At 42.8% G+C, this 17,637-nt stretch overlaps 1 protein-coding gene across 7 annotated transcripts in view; it reads left to right on the top strand.

Annotated features, from left to right (window-relative positions):
• Nucleotides 1-9,705, top strand: part of ZNF563 (zinc finger protein 563) — a 29,914-nt gene extending 20,209 nt beyond the window's left edge. The window contains exons 2-5 of one of the 7 annotated variants that reach the window (NM_001363608.1): nucleotides 4,471-4,597; nucleotides 5,850-5,910; nucleotides 7,349-7,752; nucleotides 7,871-9,705. In NM_001363608.1, the coding sequence (NP_001350537.1) occupies nucleotides 4,471-4,597; nucleotides 5,850-5,910; nucleotides 7,349-7,752; nucleotides 7,871-7,965 (687 nt within the window). In that variant the 3' untranslated portion in view covers nucleotides 7,966-9,705. Of the gene's footprint in view, nucleotides 1-1,957; nucleotides 2,264-4,470; nucleotides 4,598-5,849; nucleotides 5,911-7,348 lie in introns of those variants that run through there. The other 6 variants (XM_011527698.3, XM_005259750.5, NM_145276.3 and 3 more) reach the window with 6 other exon arrangements.
• The last annotated feature ends 7,932 nt before the right edge of the window (nucleotides 9,706-17,637 follow it).

Genomic DNA, 17,637 nt, shown 5'->3' with positions numbered 1-17,637 from the left:
CTCAACTACCTCTCTATTTCCGTCTTTGATTTTAGTTGAGCAGAATATGATTTTCTTATCCTATTAGTATAGTACTTGGTTCTTAATTTTTTTAGTGAATTCCATAGGATACATATTATACCATTCACAACTAATGGACCTTCAGTTTCAAAAAACACTATACTGGCTTCAGGGGTAGTGCTGGTATAATAAACTGTTTGAAACTTCTTCCTTTCATTCCATGAATCATCACTGTCATTCATTTGCACAATTGTGACCTATAACACCCAATACATTGTTGATACTATTATTTTGAGCAAACATATCTATTAGATCAAGAAAGTATAAGAAAAGTAAATCATTTTTTATGTCTTCATTTAATGTGATGTGAATTTCTAACTTGTGTCATTTCTCTTTTCTCTAATAAACTTCTTTTAACGTTACTGGCAAGGCAGGTATACCAGTCACACATTTTTTCCATTTCATCCCCTGACCTTTCCCGCTTCTGTGAATGGGTAGATTCAATTGTTTTATCTTGATTTTAGCTGATTTTTTTTTTTTTTGAGACAGAGTCTCAGTCGCCCATACTGGAGTGCAGTGGCACAATCTTGGCTCACTGCAACCTCCACCTCCCAGGTTCAAGCGATTCTCCTGCCTCAGCCTCCTGAGTAACTGGGATTACAGGCATGCACCACCACACCTGGCTAATTTTTGTATTTTTATTAGAGACGAGATTTCACCATGTTGGCCAGGCTGGTCTCGAACTCCCGACCTCAAGTGATCCGCTCCCCTCGGCCTCCCAAAGTGCTGGGATTACAGGCGTGAGCTGCCGCACCTGGCCTCTGATTTTTTTCTTTGGTTGTTCACATCTGTGGAACATCTATAGTGAAGTCTTCCTTTTGATTGTTGTACTTTGCAGCTGCATTAGTTCTATATTGCTCAATTTCTAATTTTTATTGATTTTTTAAATCTATTTTCTGATTTTCTTTTAGTTTTTTCTTCATCATTGCCTCACCTCATTGAACATATTTAAGACAGTTGCTTTAAAGTTTTTATTCATTCAAGAAGTCCAATGTTTGAGGTTTCTTAGAGATGGTTTATCTCAGTTCAGGTTTTTCCATTGATGAGCCATATTTTCATGTTTCTCTCTATTTTTCCTAATTTTGTGTGCATTGAAAAGTAGACATTTGCATCTGGAAATCAGATTCTGTCCCCTTCATTGTTTGCTGTTCTTGTTTGATGAAGGCTGTAACTATTCATTTGTTTAGTAACATTTTCAAAGTGTGTTTGCAGAGACTCTATTCCCTATCTGATGTACACACTGAAGTCTCTGTTCTTTAGCTTGTGTTCATTTGTGTTCTGATAGAGATTTCCTGAATGCTACAAGCTAAAAGTAAGAAGGAAGATGAAACATACAAAAACCTGACCTCTTCCAGTCTTTGTGGATGGCTCTTGTGGAGCAATTCCTTGAACACTTAGCAAGGCTGTTTAAAACTCTGCTGTAGCATTTACTTTCTGTTTTACTAAACCTAGAAACATGCCAGAGCTGAAAATAAGGGTCTCCTCACATCTTCTATGAAAATATGTTCTTTCCTATGAGTGCATGTGGCTCTCTCAGTTCCACAATATAATGGGTGCTTTTGAATACCCTAATTCCTGAAGGAAATTTTCTCTCCAGTTTTTTCCTTTTAGACTTAGGTGGGCTAATGTATGTCTTTTTTTTTTTTTTTTTTGAGATGGAGTCTTGCTCTATTGCCCAGGCTGGAGTGCAGTGGCACAATCTCGACTCACCACAACCTCTGCCTGCCAGGTTCAAGCGATTCTCCTGCTGCAGCTACTCGGTTACAGGCATGCGCCACCAAGCGTGGCTAATTTTTATATTTTTAGTAGAGACGGGGTTTCACTATGTTGGCCAGACTGGTCTCAAACTCCTAACCTCATGATCTGCCCGCCTTGGCCTCCCAAAGTGCTGGGATTACAGGCATGAGCCACCGTGCCTGGCCTTAATGTATGTCTTAATTACAGTCTGCTGTCTCAAGTAGTTGCAGGCTATTTGTGTATTTTGCACCATTTTTCAGCATTTCTTATGTTTGACCCTAACTGGATTCCATTGTAGATGAAATAGAAAAGACAGCCTTATTTCACACCTTCTGATCATCCCCATAATGACTGGAAAATACAAAGGCAATAATTTGTGAATAACATCTGATCTGCTTTCTCTAGAATTAGTGACCAGAGTTCCTCACTGGGATCTCAGGCTGCTGTCTTCAAGACTGGCGCAGAGGTGGGGTGTGATTGGGCCAAGGACAAATAAAAACTCCATAAGGGTTTTCTACCATTTTTTCACTTTTATTTATCTATTTGTTTATCTCTTTATTAATGGTATGGGGTGCTGAATATTATAGTTTCAAAATCCTTTATCTGTTTTTGCAAAGCTGTCACTTTGTTGGTGAGAGGGTTTTTTTTTTTTTTTTTTTTTTTTCTTGAGACGGAGTTTCGCTCTTGTCAACCAGGCTGAAGTGCGATAGCGCAATCTCGGCTCACCGCAACCTCTGCCTCCTGGGTTCAAGCAATTCTCCTGCCTCAGCCTCTTGAGTAGCTGGGACTACAGGCATGCGCCATCACGCCTGGCTAATTTTGTATTTTTAGTAAAGACAGGTTTTCTTCATGTTGGTCAGGCTGGTCTTGAACTCCCGACTTCAGGTGATCCGCCCACCTCAGCCACCCAAAGTGCTGGGATTACAGGTGTGAGCCACCGCACCCGGCCAGTGAGGAGGTTTTTTAGCATTTTTAGACATTTGTGACTTCTATTAGATTTGATAATGTAATTTTATTTATTTTTTTGAGACAGAGTCTCACTGTATCACCCATGCTAGAATGCAGTGGCTCAATAATGGTTCATTACAGTCTTCACATCCTGGGCTCAGGTGATCCTCCCACCTCAGCTTCCCAATTAGCTGGGACTACAGGCACACCACCATGCCCGGCTAATTTTTTTGTATTTTTTTGCAGAGACAGGGTTTCGCCATGTTGCCCAGGCTGGTCTCAAACTCCTGGGCTCAAATGGTCCATCTGCCCTGGCCTCTCAAAGTACTGAGATTACAGGCATGAGCCATGGTACCTAGCTGGTAGTGAAATTTTTGGTTATTTAGGTCTGTTTTAGTTATTTAGGGAATTTTATAAATATTCATAAGAGATAACATTGAGTTCTTTTCTAATATTACATTCTCTCATTGACCTTCTTTCCTTCTCCTTTGACATTACCCAATAAGATGTTCAAAAATTTTCCATTGGGATGGTGAAATATCTTTTATTATTTATTTGTCATGCTTAACTACATTTGGTCTAGAGGAAACCAGTTACCAGCTTCCAGATTTTCTGTTAGTATAATCCCAGAGGATGTGCCGAATCCTCCAACTAATCAGTTGCAAAAAAACATGTGAAATTTTATCTACCAGGGTCTCTCATTAGAGACCCAGTGCCTATAGTGTTTTTTGGTGGCTGGCTTAGTCTGTTTTTTGTTGCTTAAGAATAATCTGAACCTGGATAATTTATAAGGAACAATATTTGTTTTTTACTGTTCTGGAGGCTGGGAAGTCCAAGGTTAAGGCTGGGCATCTGGTGAGAACCTTCTTGCTGGTGGGGACTCTGCAGAGTTCTTAGATGGCATAAAGCATTACATGGCAAGGGCCGGAGTGCCTAACTCGGGTCTCTTCCATCTTATAAGGACACCAGTCCCCTTCCTGAGATAACTTATTTATTCATTAAGCCATTGATCCATGTATACATTAATCTATTCATGAGCTCTGAACCTTCAAGACTCAATCACCTTTTCAATCCCCACCTTTTATTACTCCCACTTTGCGGATTAACTTTCAACATGTGTTTTGGAGGGGACAACCATTCAAACTCAGCAGTGGCTGATCACATACACTCCCTCTGCTGAGTTTGTAAGATTCTAAACTCTCAGAACATAGGAGTTAAGAAAATAATGTACTTTTTGCACAAACAGTTTAGATACAATCGAGCTCTGTTATTAGTTACATTGGTGGGGCACTCCCTAAATCCAGTTCCTAGACACCATAAAAGGTCCAACTTTGAGAATAAGAATTTGTAAGGACATGCAGTCTCAGGACTGCTAATGGTAGCTCTCTTCTGCACAATAGGTAGTAGGACTTTGTCAGTAGGACTTTGACAAGAACTACAACCTACTACAGAAATAGACATTAGGGTGATGCAGGCAATAAGACTCATTTAACTCACCAAGAAGAGACCTGTTCCTATTCAACTGTAACTTTACCAAACATGTTGAATTCTACCATCAAAATGGCTGTGTGAGAGAAAGTGAGTGTAAAGAGAATATGAGAGAGTTTACTACATCATTGAATAAATGCTTGGAAAGCACAGCATCATATGAAGTTTATGAACTGAGTATAGTTTTTTCAGTACTGTCACTCAACCTTTCTCCTCTATCTATGTGGGATGTTTCAGGACGCAGTGGCCTTTGAGGATGTGGCTGTGAACTTCACCCAGGAGGAATGGGCTTTGCTGGGTCCATCACAGAAGAATTTATACAGATATGTGATGCAAGAAACCATCAGGAACCTGGACTGTATAAGTAAGGATGATACCATGTCTTCACTTAATCAATTACAGACATTTGTTTCATGGTCATCAGTGCTGTTCAATGATTTGAAATATGGAAAGGGCATATGATGGACTCTTGAACAACACAGAATTCAGAGGTGACAGCCCTGAAAGAAGTTGTACATCCTCATCTAACTTTTTGTCCACCATAGCTTAAGCCGCCATTGACCAGCAGCCTTACTGGTAACATAAACAGTTGACTGGCTGGGCACGGTGGCTCACACCTGTAATCCCAGCATGTTGGGAGGCCAAGGTGGGCGGATCATGAGGTCAGGAGTTCGAGACCAGCCTGACCAACGTGGTGAAACCCCATCTCTACTAAAAATACAAAAATTAGCCAGGCGTGGTGGCGCATGCCTGTAATCCTAGGTACTCAGGAGGCTAAGGTAGCAGAATCACTTGAGCCCAGGAGGCAGAGGTCGCAGTGAGCCAAGATCACGCCACTGCACTCCAACCTGGGTGACAGAGCGAGAATCTGTCTCAAAAAAATAAAATAAAATAAAATAATAAAAAAAAGTTGATTAATCCATATTAATCCACATATTGTAAGTCATGTATTACATACTATATTCTCACAATAAAGTGAACTAGAGAAAGAAAATATTGATAGGAAAATCATAAAGAAGAGAAACTATATTTACTATTCATTAAGTGTATGATTAAAAGGTCTTTATCCTTATCTTTACATTGAGAAGGCTAAGTAAGAGGAGGGATTGATCTTGGTGTCTTAGGGGTAGCAGAGACTGAAGAAAATTCATATGTAGGTGGAGCTGTGCAGTTCAAACATGTGTTGTTCAAGAATCAACTGTAAGGCCGGGTATGGTGGCTCATGCCTGTAATCCCAGCATTTTGGGAGGCTGAGGTGGGAAGATCACTTGAGGTCAGGAGTTTGAGACCAGCCTGACCAACATGGTGAAACCCCGTCTCCAATAAAAATACAAACATTAGCTGGTTGTGGTGGCACGCATCTGTAGTCCCAGCTACTCGGAAGGCTGAGGCAGGAGAATCGCTTGAACCCAGGAGGCGGAGGTTGCTGTGAGCCGAGATCGTGCCACTGCACTCCAGCCTGGGCAACAGAGTGAGACTCTGCCTCCACCCCCAAACTGTACAGAATTAACTGTAGTTTGATGAACGAATCATGTATGATTGCAGTATACATAAAATCTTACTGTTTTATATAATTTTCTAATAATGTATAGTGATTTTCTGGGTCTCCCTTTTAGGAATGATATGGGAAGAACAGAATACTGAAGATCAGTACAAAAATCCTAGGAGAAATCTAAGGTAATTTGCACTCACAGGAGAAAGTTATGTTTCTGAAGTGATTCTCAGAGTAAAAGGAAATTTTAAAAACAAAGAAAATGAACAAGTCCAGCTTAAATTTATTTTTTAATTTTTTAAATTAACTTTTTTTTTTAGTCAGGGCCTTGCTCTGTTGCCCAGGCTGGAGTGCAGTGGCATGATCTTGGCTCACTGAAGACTCGACCTCCCAGGTTCATGTGACCCTCCCACCAGAGCCTCCTGAGTAGCCAGGACTACACGTGCAAGCCACCACACCTCGTTAATTTTTGTATTTTTTGTAGAGACAGGGTTTTGGCATGTTTCCCAGGCTGGTCTTGAATTCCTGGGCTCAAGCAATCTGCCTGCCTTGGCCTCCCCAAATGCTGGGATTACAGGTGTGAGTCACTGCACCAGCCTAAATTTATTTATTCTTAAAAAATTTCCTCCTAAAACATTTTATAAGAATTTACATATGAGGCTGGACATGGTGGCTCATGCCTGTAATCCCAGCACTTTGGGAGGTTGAGGCAGGCAGATTACTTGAGGTCAGGAGTTTGAGACCAGCCTGGCCAACATAGTGAAACCCTGTCTCTACAAAAGTACAAAAGTTAGCTGGGCATGGGGGTATGCACCTGTAACCCCAGCTGCTTGGGAGGCCAAGGCAGGAGAATTGCATGAACCCAGGAGGCGAAGGTTGCAGTGAGCCGAGATTGCGCCACTGCACTCCAGCCTGGCGACAGAGCAAGACTCCGTCTCAAAAAAAAAATTAGCCAAGTGTGTTGGTGCACACCTATGGTTCCAGCTACTCATGAGGCTGAAGTAGGTAGATCACTTGAGTTCAGGAGGTCAAGGTTGCATGAACCATCGTTCTGCTACTGCACTCCAGCCTGGTGACAAAGCAAGATACTGTTTCAAAAAATAAATTAATTAATTAAAAAGAAAAGGAAAAAAAAAAAACCCAGCTGGTGTTGGGTTGTCTTGCATAGCATTCAGTTCATTCATGTTCAAACAGGGCATGAAGCCTACACTTTGCATGGTAATGATAAAAAGGTATATCTGGCCAGGCGCAGTGACTCACTTCTGTAATCCCAGCACTTTGGGAGGCCAAGGGGGGGTGGATCACGAGGTCAGAAGTTCGAGAACAGCCTGGCCAGCATGGCAAAACCCTGTCTCTACTAGAAATACAAAATTAGCTGGGCGTGGTGGCGTATGCCTCTCTAATCCCGGCTACTTGGGAGGCTGAGGCAGGAGAATCGCTTGAACCCGGGAGGAAGAGATTGCAGTGAGCCGAGATCGTGCCGCTGCACTCTAGCCTGGGTGACAGAGCAAGACTCCATCTCAGGGAAAAAAAAAAAAAAGTACATCCAATACCTATTAATACACATAAATAAATAATCATTTAGAAACAACTATTTAGTAACGTACTACTCATTTTTTACAGATGTCATATGGTAGAGAGATTCAGTGAAAGTAAAGACAGTAGTCAGTGTGGAGAAACATTTAGCCTCATTCGAGATAGTATTGTGAACAACAGCATTTGTCCTGGAGAAGATCCATGTCAAAGCGCTGAGTGTGAAGAAGTCATAATGGGTCATTTATCCCTTAATAGCCACATCAGAGTTGATTCTGGACACAAACCACATGAGTATCAGGAATATGGAGAGAAGCCACATACACATAAACAACGTGGGAAAGCCTTCAGTTACCATCACTCCTTTCAGTCGCGTGGAAGGCCTCACACTGGAAAGAAACGCTATGAGTGTAAGGAATGTGGAAAAACCTTCAGTTCTCGTAGAAACCTTCGAAGACACATGGTAGTGCAAGGTGGAAATAGACCTTATAAATGTAAGTTGTGTGGGAAAGCTTTTTTTTGGCCCAGTTTATTACGTATGCATGAAAGAACTCACACTGGAGAGAAACCGTATGAATGTAAGCAGTGTTCTAAAGCCTTTCCTTTTTACAGTTCCTATCGAAGACATGAGAGAATGCACACTGGGGAGAAACCGTATGAATGTAAGCAGTGTTCTAAAGCCTTGCCTGATTCCAGTTCCTATATAAGACATGAAAGAACTCACACTGGAGAGAAACCATATACATGTAAACAGTGTGGGAAAGCCTTCAGTGTTTCCAGTTCCCTTCGAAGACATGAAACCACTCACAGTGCAGAGAAACCCTATGAGTGTAAGCAATGCGGGAAAACATTTCATCATCTTGGAAGCTTTCAGATACACATGAAAAGGCACACTGGAGATCGACCTCATAAATGTAAGATATGTGGGAAAGGCTTTGATCGTCCCAGTTTAGTTCGATATCATGAACGAATTCACACTGGAGAGAAACCCTATGAATGCAAGCAGTGTGGGAAAACGTTATCTCATAGCTCAAGCTTTCGAAGACACATGATAATGCACACTGGAGGTGGACCTCATAAATGCAAGATATGTGGGAAAGCTTTTGTTTATCCTAGTGTATGTCAAAGACACGAAAAGTCTCACAGTGGAGAGAAACCCTATGAATGCAAGCAGTGTGGGAAAGCGTTATCTCATAGCTCAAGCTTTCGAAGACATATGGTAATGCATACGGGAGATGGGCCGAATAAATGCAAGGTATGTGGGAAAGCCTTTGTTTATCCCAGTGTATGTCAAAGACATGAAAAGACTCACTGGAGAGAAACAATATGAATGTAAACTATTATAAAGCCTTCTATATTTCCAGTTCCCTTTGATATCATGAATAAACTTACACTGGACAGAAACCCTATAAATGTAAATGTGGGAAAGCCTTTCATAATTTTTATTCCTTTCAAAATCATGAAATATCTCACACTGGAGAGATGCTGTATGATATAAGGAATGTGGGAAAGTGATCGATTTTTTTTTAACACCATTGTCAACATAAAACAACTCACAGAGCAGAAAAACTCTGTGAGTGTAAAATATGTAGGGAAGCCTTCAGTCATTTTGGTAACTTAAAAGTACATGAGGCTGGGCACAGTGGCTCACGCCTGTAATCCCAGCACTTAGGGTGGGCAAATTGCTTGACCTCAGGAATTTGAGGCCTGCCTGGGCAAAATGGTGAAACCATGTCTCTACAAAAAATAGAAAAAGTAGCAGGTGTGGTGGTATGCCCCTGTAGTCCCAGCTACTTGGGAGGCTGAGGTGGGAAGATCTCTTGAGCCCAAGGGGTGGGGGTTGCAGTGAGCCAAGATGCACTGCACCCCAGCCTGGGCGACAGAGCCAGACCCTGTCTCAAAAAAAAAAAAAAAGTACATGAAAGGATTCACTCTGGAGAGAAGTCATATGAATGTAAGAAATGTAGAAAAGCATTGAGTTCTCTCAGGTCCTTGCATAGACATAAAAGGACTCACTGGAGAGATACTCTATAAATGTGTGAAATGTAGGGAAGTATTCTTTAATGTTATTTCATTTCAGATAGAAATAATTCTCATTGGAGATAAACCCTATGAATGTAAACACATAGTAAAGCCTTAATTTTAAGCCTCAGTTTCTTTCAAATACAGTTATCCCCTAATATTTGCAGGAGCGTGGTTCTACCACCCCCTGGGCATACATAAATCGACACATGCCAAGTCCTTTTTTAAAAATGACATATTTGGTACAAAATTACCCGGATGTGATGGCACATGCCTGTAATCCCAGCTACTCAGGAGGCTGAGGCAGGATAATCACTTGAATCCGGGAGGCGGAGGTTGCGGTGAGCCAAGATCGCGCCACTGCACTCCAGCCTGGGCAGCAAGAGCAAAACAACCTCTGTCACACACACAAAAAAAAAAAAAAAGGAAAGAAAGAAAAGACATATTTGGGTTAGACACAGTTGCTCACCTCTGTAATCCTAGCACCTTAGGAGCCCAAGACAGGTGGATCACTTGAGCCCAGGAGTTAGAGGCCAGCCTGGGTAATGTGGCAAAACCCTGTCTCTACAGAAGATACACAAATTAGCCAGGTGTGGTGACATGTACCTGTAGTCCCAGCTACTAGGGAAGCTGAGGTGGGAGGATCGCTTGAGCCTGGGAGGTTGAGGTTGCGGTGAGTCAAAATCACATCACTGCATTCTAGCATGGGCAACAGAATGAGACCCTGTCTCAAAAAAATAATAACAATAAAAAATATTTGCATGTAACCTACCCACATCCTCCTGTATACTCTAAATCATCTGTAGATTAGTTAAAATACATCATGCATCATAGAAGCTATGTAAATAGTTGTTATTATATTGTTTAGTGAATCATGATATGAGAAAGACCCTACACATATTCAGTACAGACCCACCCACATAATACATGTCACCTAGAGCATTATAAATCTTTTCTTTCAACACTCATAGATTGCTTTTGTTTAATGACCTGAAAATGTGTTAACATTCACCCAACAAAAGTGTAATGATGATTATTGCAATATCGTGCCTAATGTTGTGATGTGTTGAGTCAGCTAGATGTGTGACACCACAGATAAGCAGTGAGACCTCAGGCTAACTCGAATCTTGACAGGATGTCAACATGATCAACTATATTGGAAGAAACAGATTCTGACTGCAGATACTGAATTTTTGGAGCAGTCTAAATAATACTAATGTCAGAATCTGTTCAATTTGAGGACTGAAGATCTTTAAGCATTGAAGGCTGTCTTCATATTTGCAGATATTTAATTAGAAACATTGTAGGAAGCTAGTTTTTTTTTTTTTAAACTTTGCAACGTTTGTGAGCATGTAATCTCTGGGGTGACATGGAGGCTTTGTTCCATGGAAGAATCTTAATTGAGGATGATAATCTTTAACACTTGCGCCTTGTAGAAGCTGTAGGTGCCCTAAAACTGCTTCCAATTTTTCTTTTTTTTTCTTTTTCTTTTCTTTTTTTTTTTTTTTAAGACAAGATCTCACTCTGTCACCCTACAGTGCATGGCTCACTGCAGCCTCAACTTCCTGGGCTCAAGTGATCTTCCCACCTCAGCCTCCCAAGTAGCTGGGATTATAGGCACACATCACGATGCCTGGCTACTTTTTGTGTTTTTTGTGGAGACAAGGTTTCACCATGTTTCCCAGGCTGGTCTTGAACTCCTGGAATCAAGAGATCTGCCTGCCTTGGCCTCCCAAATTACTAGGATTACAGGGTGAGCCACCACACCCAGCCTTCAGATTTTTCAAGTATCAAAATCTATAGCACTGCTTCTTTTTTTTTTTTTCAGACAGAGTCTCACTCTGTCGCTGAGGCTGAAGTGCAGTGGTGCAATCTCAGCTCACTGCAGCCTCCACCTCCCAGGTTCAAGTGATCCTCCTGCATCAGCCACCTGAGGAGCTGGGATTACAATCTCAGCTCACTGCAACCTCCACCTCCCAAGTTCAAGTGATCCTCCTGCCTCAGCCACCCAAGTAGCTGGGAATACAGGCATGCACCACCATGCCCAGCTAATTTTTGTATTTTTAGTAGAGACAGGGTTTCGCCATGTTTGCCAAGCTGGTTTTGAACTCCCTGTGACTTCAAGTGATCTGCCTGCCTTGGCCTCTCAGAATGCTGGGATTACAGGCATGAGCCACCACTTATGGCACTGCCTCTTTATTTATTTATTGAGACTGAGTCTCACTCTGTCACCCAGGCTGGAGTGCAGTGGCACGATCTCGGCTCACTGCAAACACTGCCTCCTGGGTTCAAGCGATTCTCATGCCTCAGCCTCCCAAGTAGCTGGGATTACAGGTGCCCGCCACCACACCCAGCTAATTTTTGTATTTTTAGTAGAGACGGGGTTTCACCATGTTGGCCAGGCTGGTCTTAAACTCGTGACCTCAGGTGATTCACCCGCTTCGGCCTCCCAAACTGTTGGGATTACAGGCGTGAGCCACCACGCCTGGCGGCACTGCCTCTTCTAAATCTACATCATCATCATCATCATCTATAGAGGATTTCAGCATATCTTCTAGTTCCTTGTTAGTAAAGGTTTCTTCTTTGCTCTTCTGTGTGTTCCTCAACATTGTCTTCACTTGTGTCAGAGATAGCCTTCCCCACCAACTTTCCTTACATTTAAGATATTTCTGACTATCATATCGATAGTGCAGAAGCGCCTGAAATCATTGACTTCCTCACTCCATAATGGCTTCCAACACACTTTGGCTGTCTTGAGCTGTAGGGCATTTACAGCCTCCGCAATAAACACAATCGTTTCTGCAGTTGGGAAGCTCTTCCATAAATCCTGTATGACATGGTGAGGGTTATTATCAAGACAGCATAAATCCTTCCAAAAGTCCAGTGGGTGTAAGACACCTTGAGGCACTTGATGATGCTTTGATCAAGTAGTTGTAGCAGTGATGTAGTTTTAGGAGGCAGGAACATCACTTCCCCATTTTTATCGGCATAACAGAGAGAAGAGAGATGCCAGGAGCGTTGTCAGTTATGAGGAGGGCCTTGAGTGGCAGCCCCTTCTTTTCAAGGTATTCATTCACATCAGGAATGAAGCAGTGGTAGAACCAAGTCCTCGTGTGTTTTTGTCAGGACACGGGCAGGCAAGTTTCGCTTTTGTTTTCAAGGACCCACGGATTGTTTACTTAGTAGAGGAGGCTTTGTTTGATCTTATGACCTGCTGCATTGCCACGTAGCACCAGAGTAAGGCAATCTTTCCAAGTCATGAACCCCAAGGCTTTCTTTGTACTCTTGTGATGAAGGTACAATTGGGCATCCTCTTCCAGAACATGCCTGATTCATTACAATGGAGGATTTGCTCTGGAAGTTAGCCTCTTTTTTTTTTTTTTTTTTAATGAGTTTCATGAGCTTTTCTAGGAATGCTGATGTTTCCTTTGCATCAGCCAAGGCCAATTCTCCCATGTTCTTCAAGTTCTTGAAGCTCTAATGCATTGTGTAGCTAGCTAAGCCAGACCTTGCTGGCCTGAAACTCCTTCCTGTAGATCTTTTTTTTTTTTTTTGAGATGGAGTTTTGCTCTTGTTGCCCAGGCTGGAGTGCAATGGCGCTATCTTGGCTCACCACAATCTCTGCCTCCCAGGTTCAAGTGATTTCTTCTTCCTCAGCCTCCTGAGTAGCTGGGATTACAGGCATGTGCCACCACACCCAGCTAATTTTGTATTTTTAGTAGAGACAGGGTTTCTCCATATTGGTCAGGTTGGTCTCGAACCCCGTGATCCTCCCGCCTTGGCCTCCCAAAGTGCTGGGATTACAGGTGTGAGTCACCGTGCCCAGCCAAGGTAAATTCTATCTTATGTGAATTTTGGCACCATGAGAAAATGGCGGGGGGGGGAAGCCACAGAAGTGGGCCGGGTGCGGTGGCTCACGCCTGTAATCCCAGCACTTCGGGAGGCCGAGGCATGCGGATCACGAGGTCAGGAGATCGAGACCATCCTGGCTAACATGGTGAAACCCGTCTCTACTAAAAGAATACAAAAAATTAGCCGGGCGTGGTGGCAGGTGCATGTAGTCCCAGCTACTAGAGAGGCTGAGGCAGGAGAATGGCGTGAACCCAGGAGGCAGAGCTTGCAGTGAGCCAAGATCCTGCCACTGCACTCCAGCCTGGGCGACAGGGGTGAGACTCCGTCTCAAAAAAAAAAAAAAAAAAGCCACAGAAGTGCAAAGACTCCCTTGGACCATGAACTTACCAAGCAGCGCTGGGCCACATTCCTCCTTGTCTGCAGCACTAAGTTTGTTCATTTTCCTGTGTTCATGGAAGACCTGTTCCTACGCAGTCCCTGTTTCTCTCAGGCAACCTTTAGATTTGATCCCAGGCTTAGGTCAGCTACTGCCACACAGCTTTGTTCCCAATCTGAACCATACTCACTTTGGACCCGTGTGGTATGCTAACACCTTCCTGTTTATTTGAAGGGGTAATATTAATTTCTACTTCACAACATTCATAAACATAATTGAGGCCAGGCAAGGCGGTGGCCCACGCCTGTAATCCCAACACTTTGGGAGGCCAAGCCGGGTGGATCGCTTGAGTTCATGAGTTCAAGACCAGCGTGGGCAACATGGTGAAAGCCTGTCTCTACCAAAACAACAACAACAACAAAAGCCTGGGCGCAGTGGCTCTCGCCTGTAATCCCAGCACTTTGGGAGGCTGAGGCGGGCAGATCACGAGGTCAGGAGTTCGAGACCAGCCTGGCCAACATGGCGAAACCCTGTCTAGTAAAAATCCAAAAATTAGCCAGGTGTGGTGGCAGGTGCCTATAATCCCAGCTACTCAGGAGGCTGAGGCAGGAGAATCCCTTGAACCCGGGAGGCAGAACTTGCAGTGAGCTGAGATCGCGCCACTGCACTCCAGTCTGGGTGACAGAGCGAGACTCTATCTCAAAAAAAAAAAAAAAAAAAAAAGGCCGGGTGTGGTGTCTCACGCCTGTAATCCCAGCACTTTGGGAGGCCGAGGCGGGCAGATCACGAGGTCAGGAGATCGAGACCATCCTGGCCAACACGGTGAAACCCCATCTCCACTAAAAAAAATACAAAAAATTAGCCGGGCATGGTGGTGGGCGCCTGTAGTCCCAGCTACTCAGGAGGCTGAGACGAGAATGGCGTGAACCCGGGAGGCAGAGCTTGCAGTGAGCCGAGATCGTGCCACTGCACTCCAGCCTGGGCGACAGAGTGAGACTCCGTCTCAAAGAAAAAAAAAAGAAAAAGCAGGGCGTGGTGGCGCATGCCTGTGGTCCCAGCTGCTCAGGAGGCTAAGGCATGAGAATCGTTTGAGCCCAGGAGGTGGAGGCTGCAGTGAGCTGAGATTGTTTCACTGCACTCTAGCCTGGGTGAGAGAATGAGACCCTGTTTCAAAAACAAACAAACAAAACAAAACAAACACATAATTGAGCCACTTAAAAGTTTTGTTCCTGACTAATCTTCCAAAATATGAGAAAGTTAAGTAGCACAAACTAAAAATAATAAAGTGGAAAAGATCTCCCTAATAATAGAAAATTGAGAAAATGCAATGCAGAAAAAGAGATGATTAACCTGTAATTCTGTACCTGTGTTAGAGGTTGAAGAAATGGATAGAAAGAGATCATGACATGCACAAGAATTTCCTGATTTTAGTAGTAGAGTCAAGGTTGAAGTGGAAATATATAACATGGAAATTTCCACGTTAGATGAATGAGGGAAATCTTCTCCCCATATGTTATGGAATGAATGTACCTGTGTTAGAGGTTTTACCTGTGTTAGAGGTTTTACCTGTGTTAGAGGTTAGAAGGAATGAATGTAGAGTCAATTTTTTGTTTGTTTGTTTTTGAAACGGAGTTTAACTCTTGTTGCTCAGGCTGGAGTGCAGTGGCGTGATCTCGACTCACTGCAACCTCTGCCTCCCGGGTTCAAGCATTTCTCCTGCCTCAGCCTCCTGAGTAGCTGGGATTACAGGCGCATGCCACCATGCCCAGCTAATTTTTGTATTTTTTTTAGTAGAAACGGGGTTTCACCATGTCGGCTAAGCTGGTCTCAAACTCCTGACCTCAGATGATCCGCCCACCTTGGCCTCCCAAAGTGCTGGGATTACAGGCGTGAGCCACTGCGCCTGGCCCAAGTCAATTTTTAATTAAGGAAGCACAGTAAATTCTGCCTTCACCCAGTATATCTTTCCAATGTAGGATGATTTATTTTTCATTACATTTGTTCTAAGATTTTGTAGTGATTACTCTAGTGTTTGTCATGTAAATGTTAGTTTATCAAAATCAGGCTCAGTTCTCCAGTAATATGTGGTTAAATTTCAGTGATGTACACACATATTTGTCCTCTATAGCTCTATTATGTTTTTGCCTTTCTGGGGTACTTTGTTGCATATGTAACAACTCAGTGTTCCACATTCAACAATATATTCTTATAATTATTACTTTTCCACTGGTAGTCATTTAGTTCAGTTTTTATGGTGTTATTTATAAATATAATACATGTATGTTAAATTTTTCTATGTTGTAGGCCTAACAATCCATTACTACTTATTACTTTACACAATTGACTTGTAAATCCATAACAAGGAGAAAGGTGAAGAAACACATATTCAGTTTGTCTTTTCCACTTATATAGTCTTGCATGGTGCTCTCTGCTTTTTCCTGTGGATTTTGACAGACTCAATAATTTTTTTTTTTTTGAGATGGAGTCTTCCTCTATTGTCCCAGGCTGGAGTGCAGTGGCTCTATCTTGGCCACTGCAACCTCCACCTGCCGGGTTCAAATGATTGTCCTGCCTCAGCCCCCCAAGTAGCTGGGACTACAGGCGTGTGCCACCACACCCAGCTAATTTTTGTATTTTTTTTTTTTTTTGTAGAGACAGGGTTTTGCCATGTTTGCCAGGCTGCTCTCAAACTCCTGACCTCTAGTGATCCACCAGCCTCGGCCTCCCAAAGTGCTGAGATTACAGACGCGAGCCACCGCACCTGGCAACTTTGGTCTTGTAGGGCTGGTGTGCCAGGAAAAATTCTCTCAATGTTCATATTTTTAAGCCTAGGAAAATATTTGTTTTGTCTTTCATTTTGAACATGAACATTGTTGGATTCTGGTTAAGGTGTGTTTTGGAGCAGAGCATGATGAGGGACTGGGTGAGGGGCTTCCCAGTGAAAGGAGGAACAGAACCTAGCAAAAGCAAATATGTCTGTTTCACTCCAATCACTTATTACAATAACCTCTATTACTTAATATCAAAAAAAAAGCAATGATCAATATGTTGAAAGGGATGGAAGAAGCAAGTATGATGTTTGACCATAATAGCATTCATTGCTTGGGAAACTAAAGACAAAACAACTGGAAAACTATTAACACTGTTGGCCAGGTGTGGTGGCTCATGCCTGTCATCCCAGCACTTTGGGAGGCTGAGGTGGATGGATCGCTTGAGCCCAGGAGTTCGAGACCAGCCTGGGCAACATGGCGAAACCTCATCTCTACAAAAAATACAAAAAATTACCCAGGTCTGGTGGTGTGTTCCTGTAGTCCCAGCTACTCAGGAGGCTGAGATGGAAGGATTGCTTGAGCCTGGGAAGTCGATGCTGCAGTGAGCCAAGATTGCACCACTGCACTCTAGCCTGAGTGACAGAGTGAGACCCTGTCTAAAAAAAAAAAAAAAACCCAAAACTATTAACACTGTTAATGGATTCAATTTCCTGCTTAGAGATGAAACATATACGGTATTCACAGTAATATACACTATTGAATTAAAATCATATAACTTTCCAAGGACTAGGACTAATTCCATGTGCAGTATCTATCTGCAGACAACTTTAAGAGTTTCCTAATGGGCCAGGCACAGTGGCTAACGCCTGTAATCTCAGCACTTTGGGAGGCCGAGGTGGGTAGATCACGAGGTCAGGAGTTCGAGACCAGCCTGGCCAACATGGTGAAACCCCGTCTCTACTAAAAATACAAAAATTAGCCGGGCGGAGTAGCGGGTGCCTGTACTCAGGAGGTTACTCGGGAGACTGAGGCAGGAGAATTGCTTGAACTCGGGAGGCGGAGATTGTGGTGAGCCGAGATAGTGCCACTGCACTCTAGCCTGGGTGACAGAGCAACACTCCGTCTCAAAAAAATAAAAAATAAAAAATAAAGAGTTTCCTAATGAAATGACTTAAATGTCACCTCCATGAATGTATATATACAAACTTTGCTGGATTGAAGTTTCTTCATCCCAACCCCTGCTGTCTAGAAATGCTATAAATGTAAGTAATTTAGGAAAATCTGATTAAAATTAAGACATGTATAATGCTCCAGAGAATTTGCAATAGGAAAGAAATGAAAACGTATAACTCTATTCT

The sequence above is a fragment of the Homo sapiens genome, chromosome 19, assembly GCF_000001405.40.
Source record: "Homo sapiens chromosome 19, GRCh38.p14 Primary Assembly".
Lineage (NCBI taxonomy): Eukaryota > Metazoa > Chordata > Mammalia > Primates > Hominidae > Homo > Homo sapiens.
Note: the sequence above shows the minus strand (reverse complement) of the source record. Positions and strands in the feature narration are given on the sequence as shown.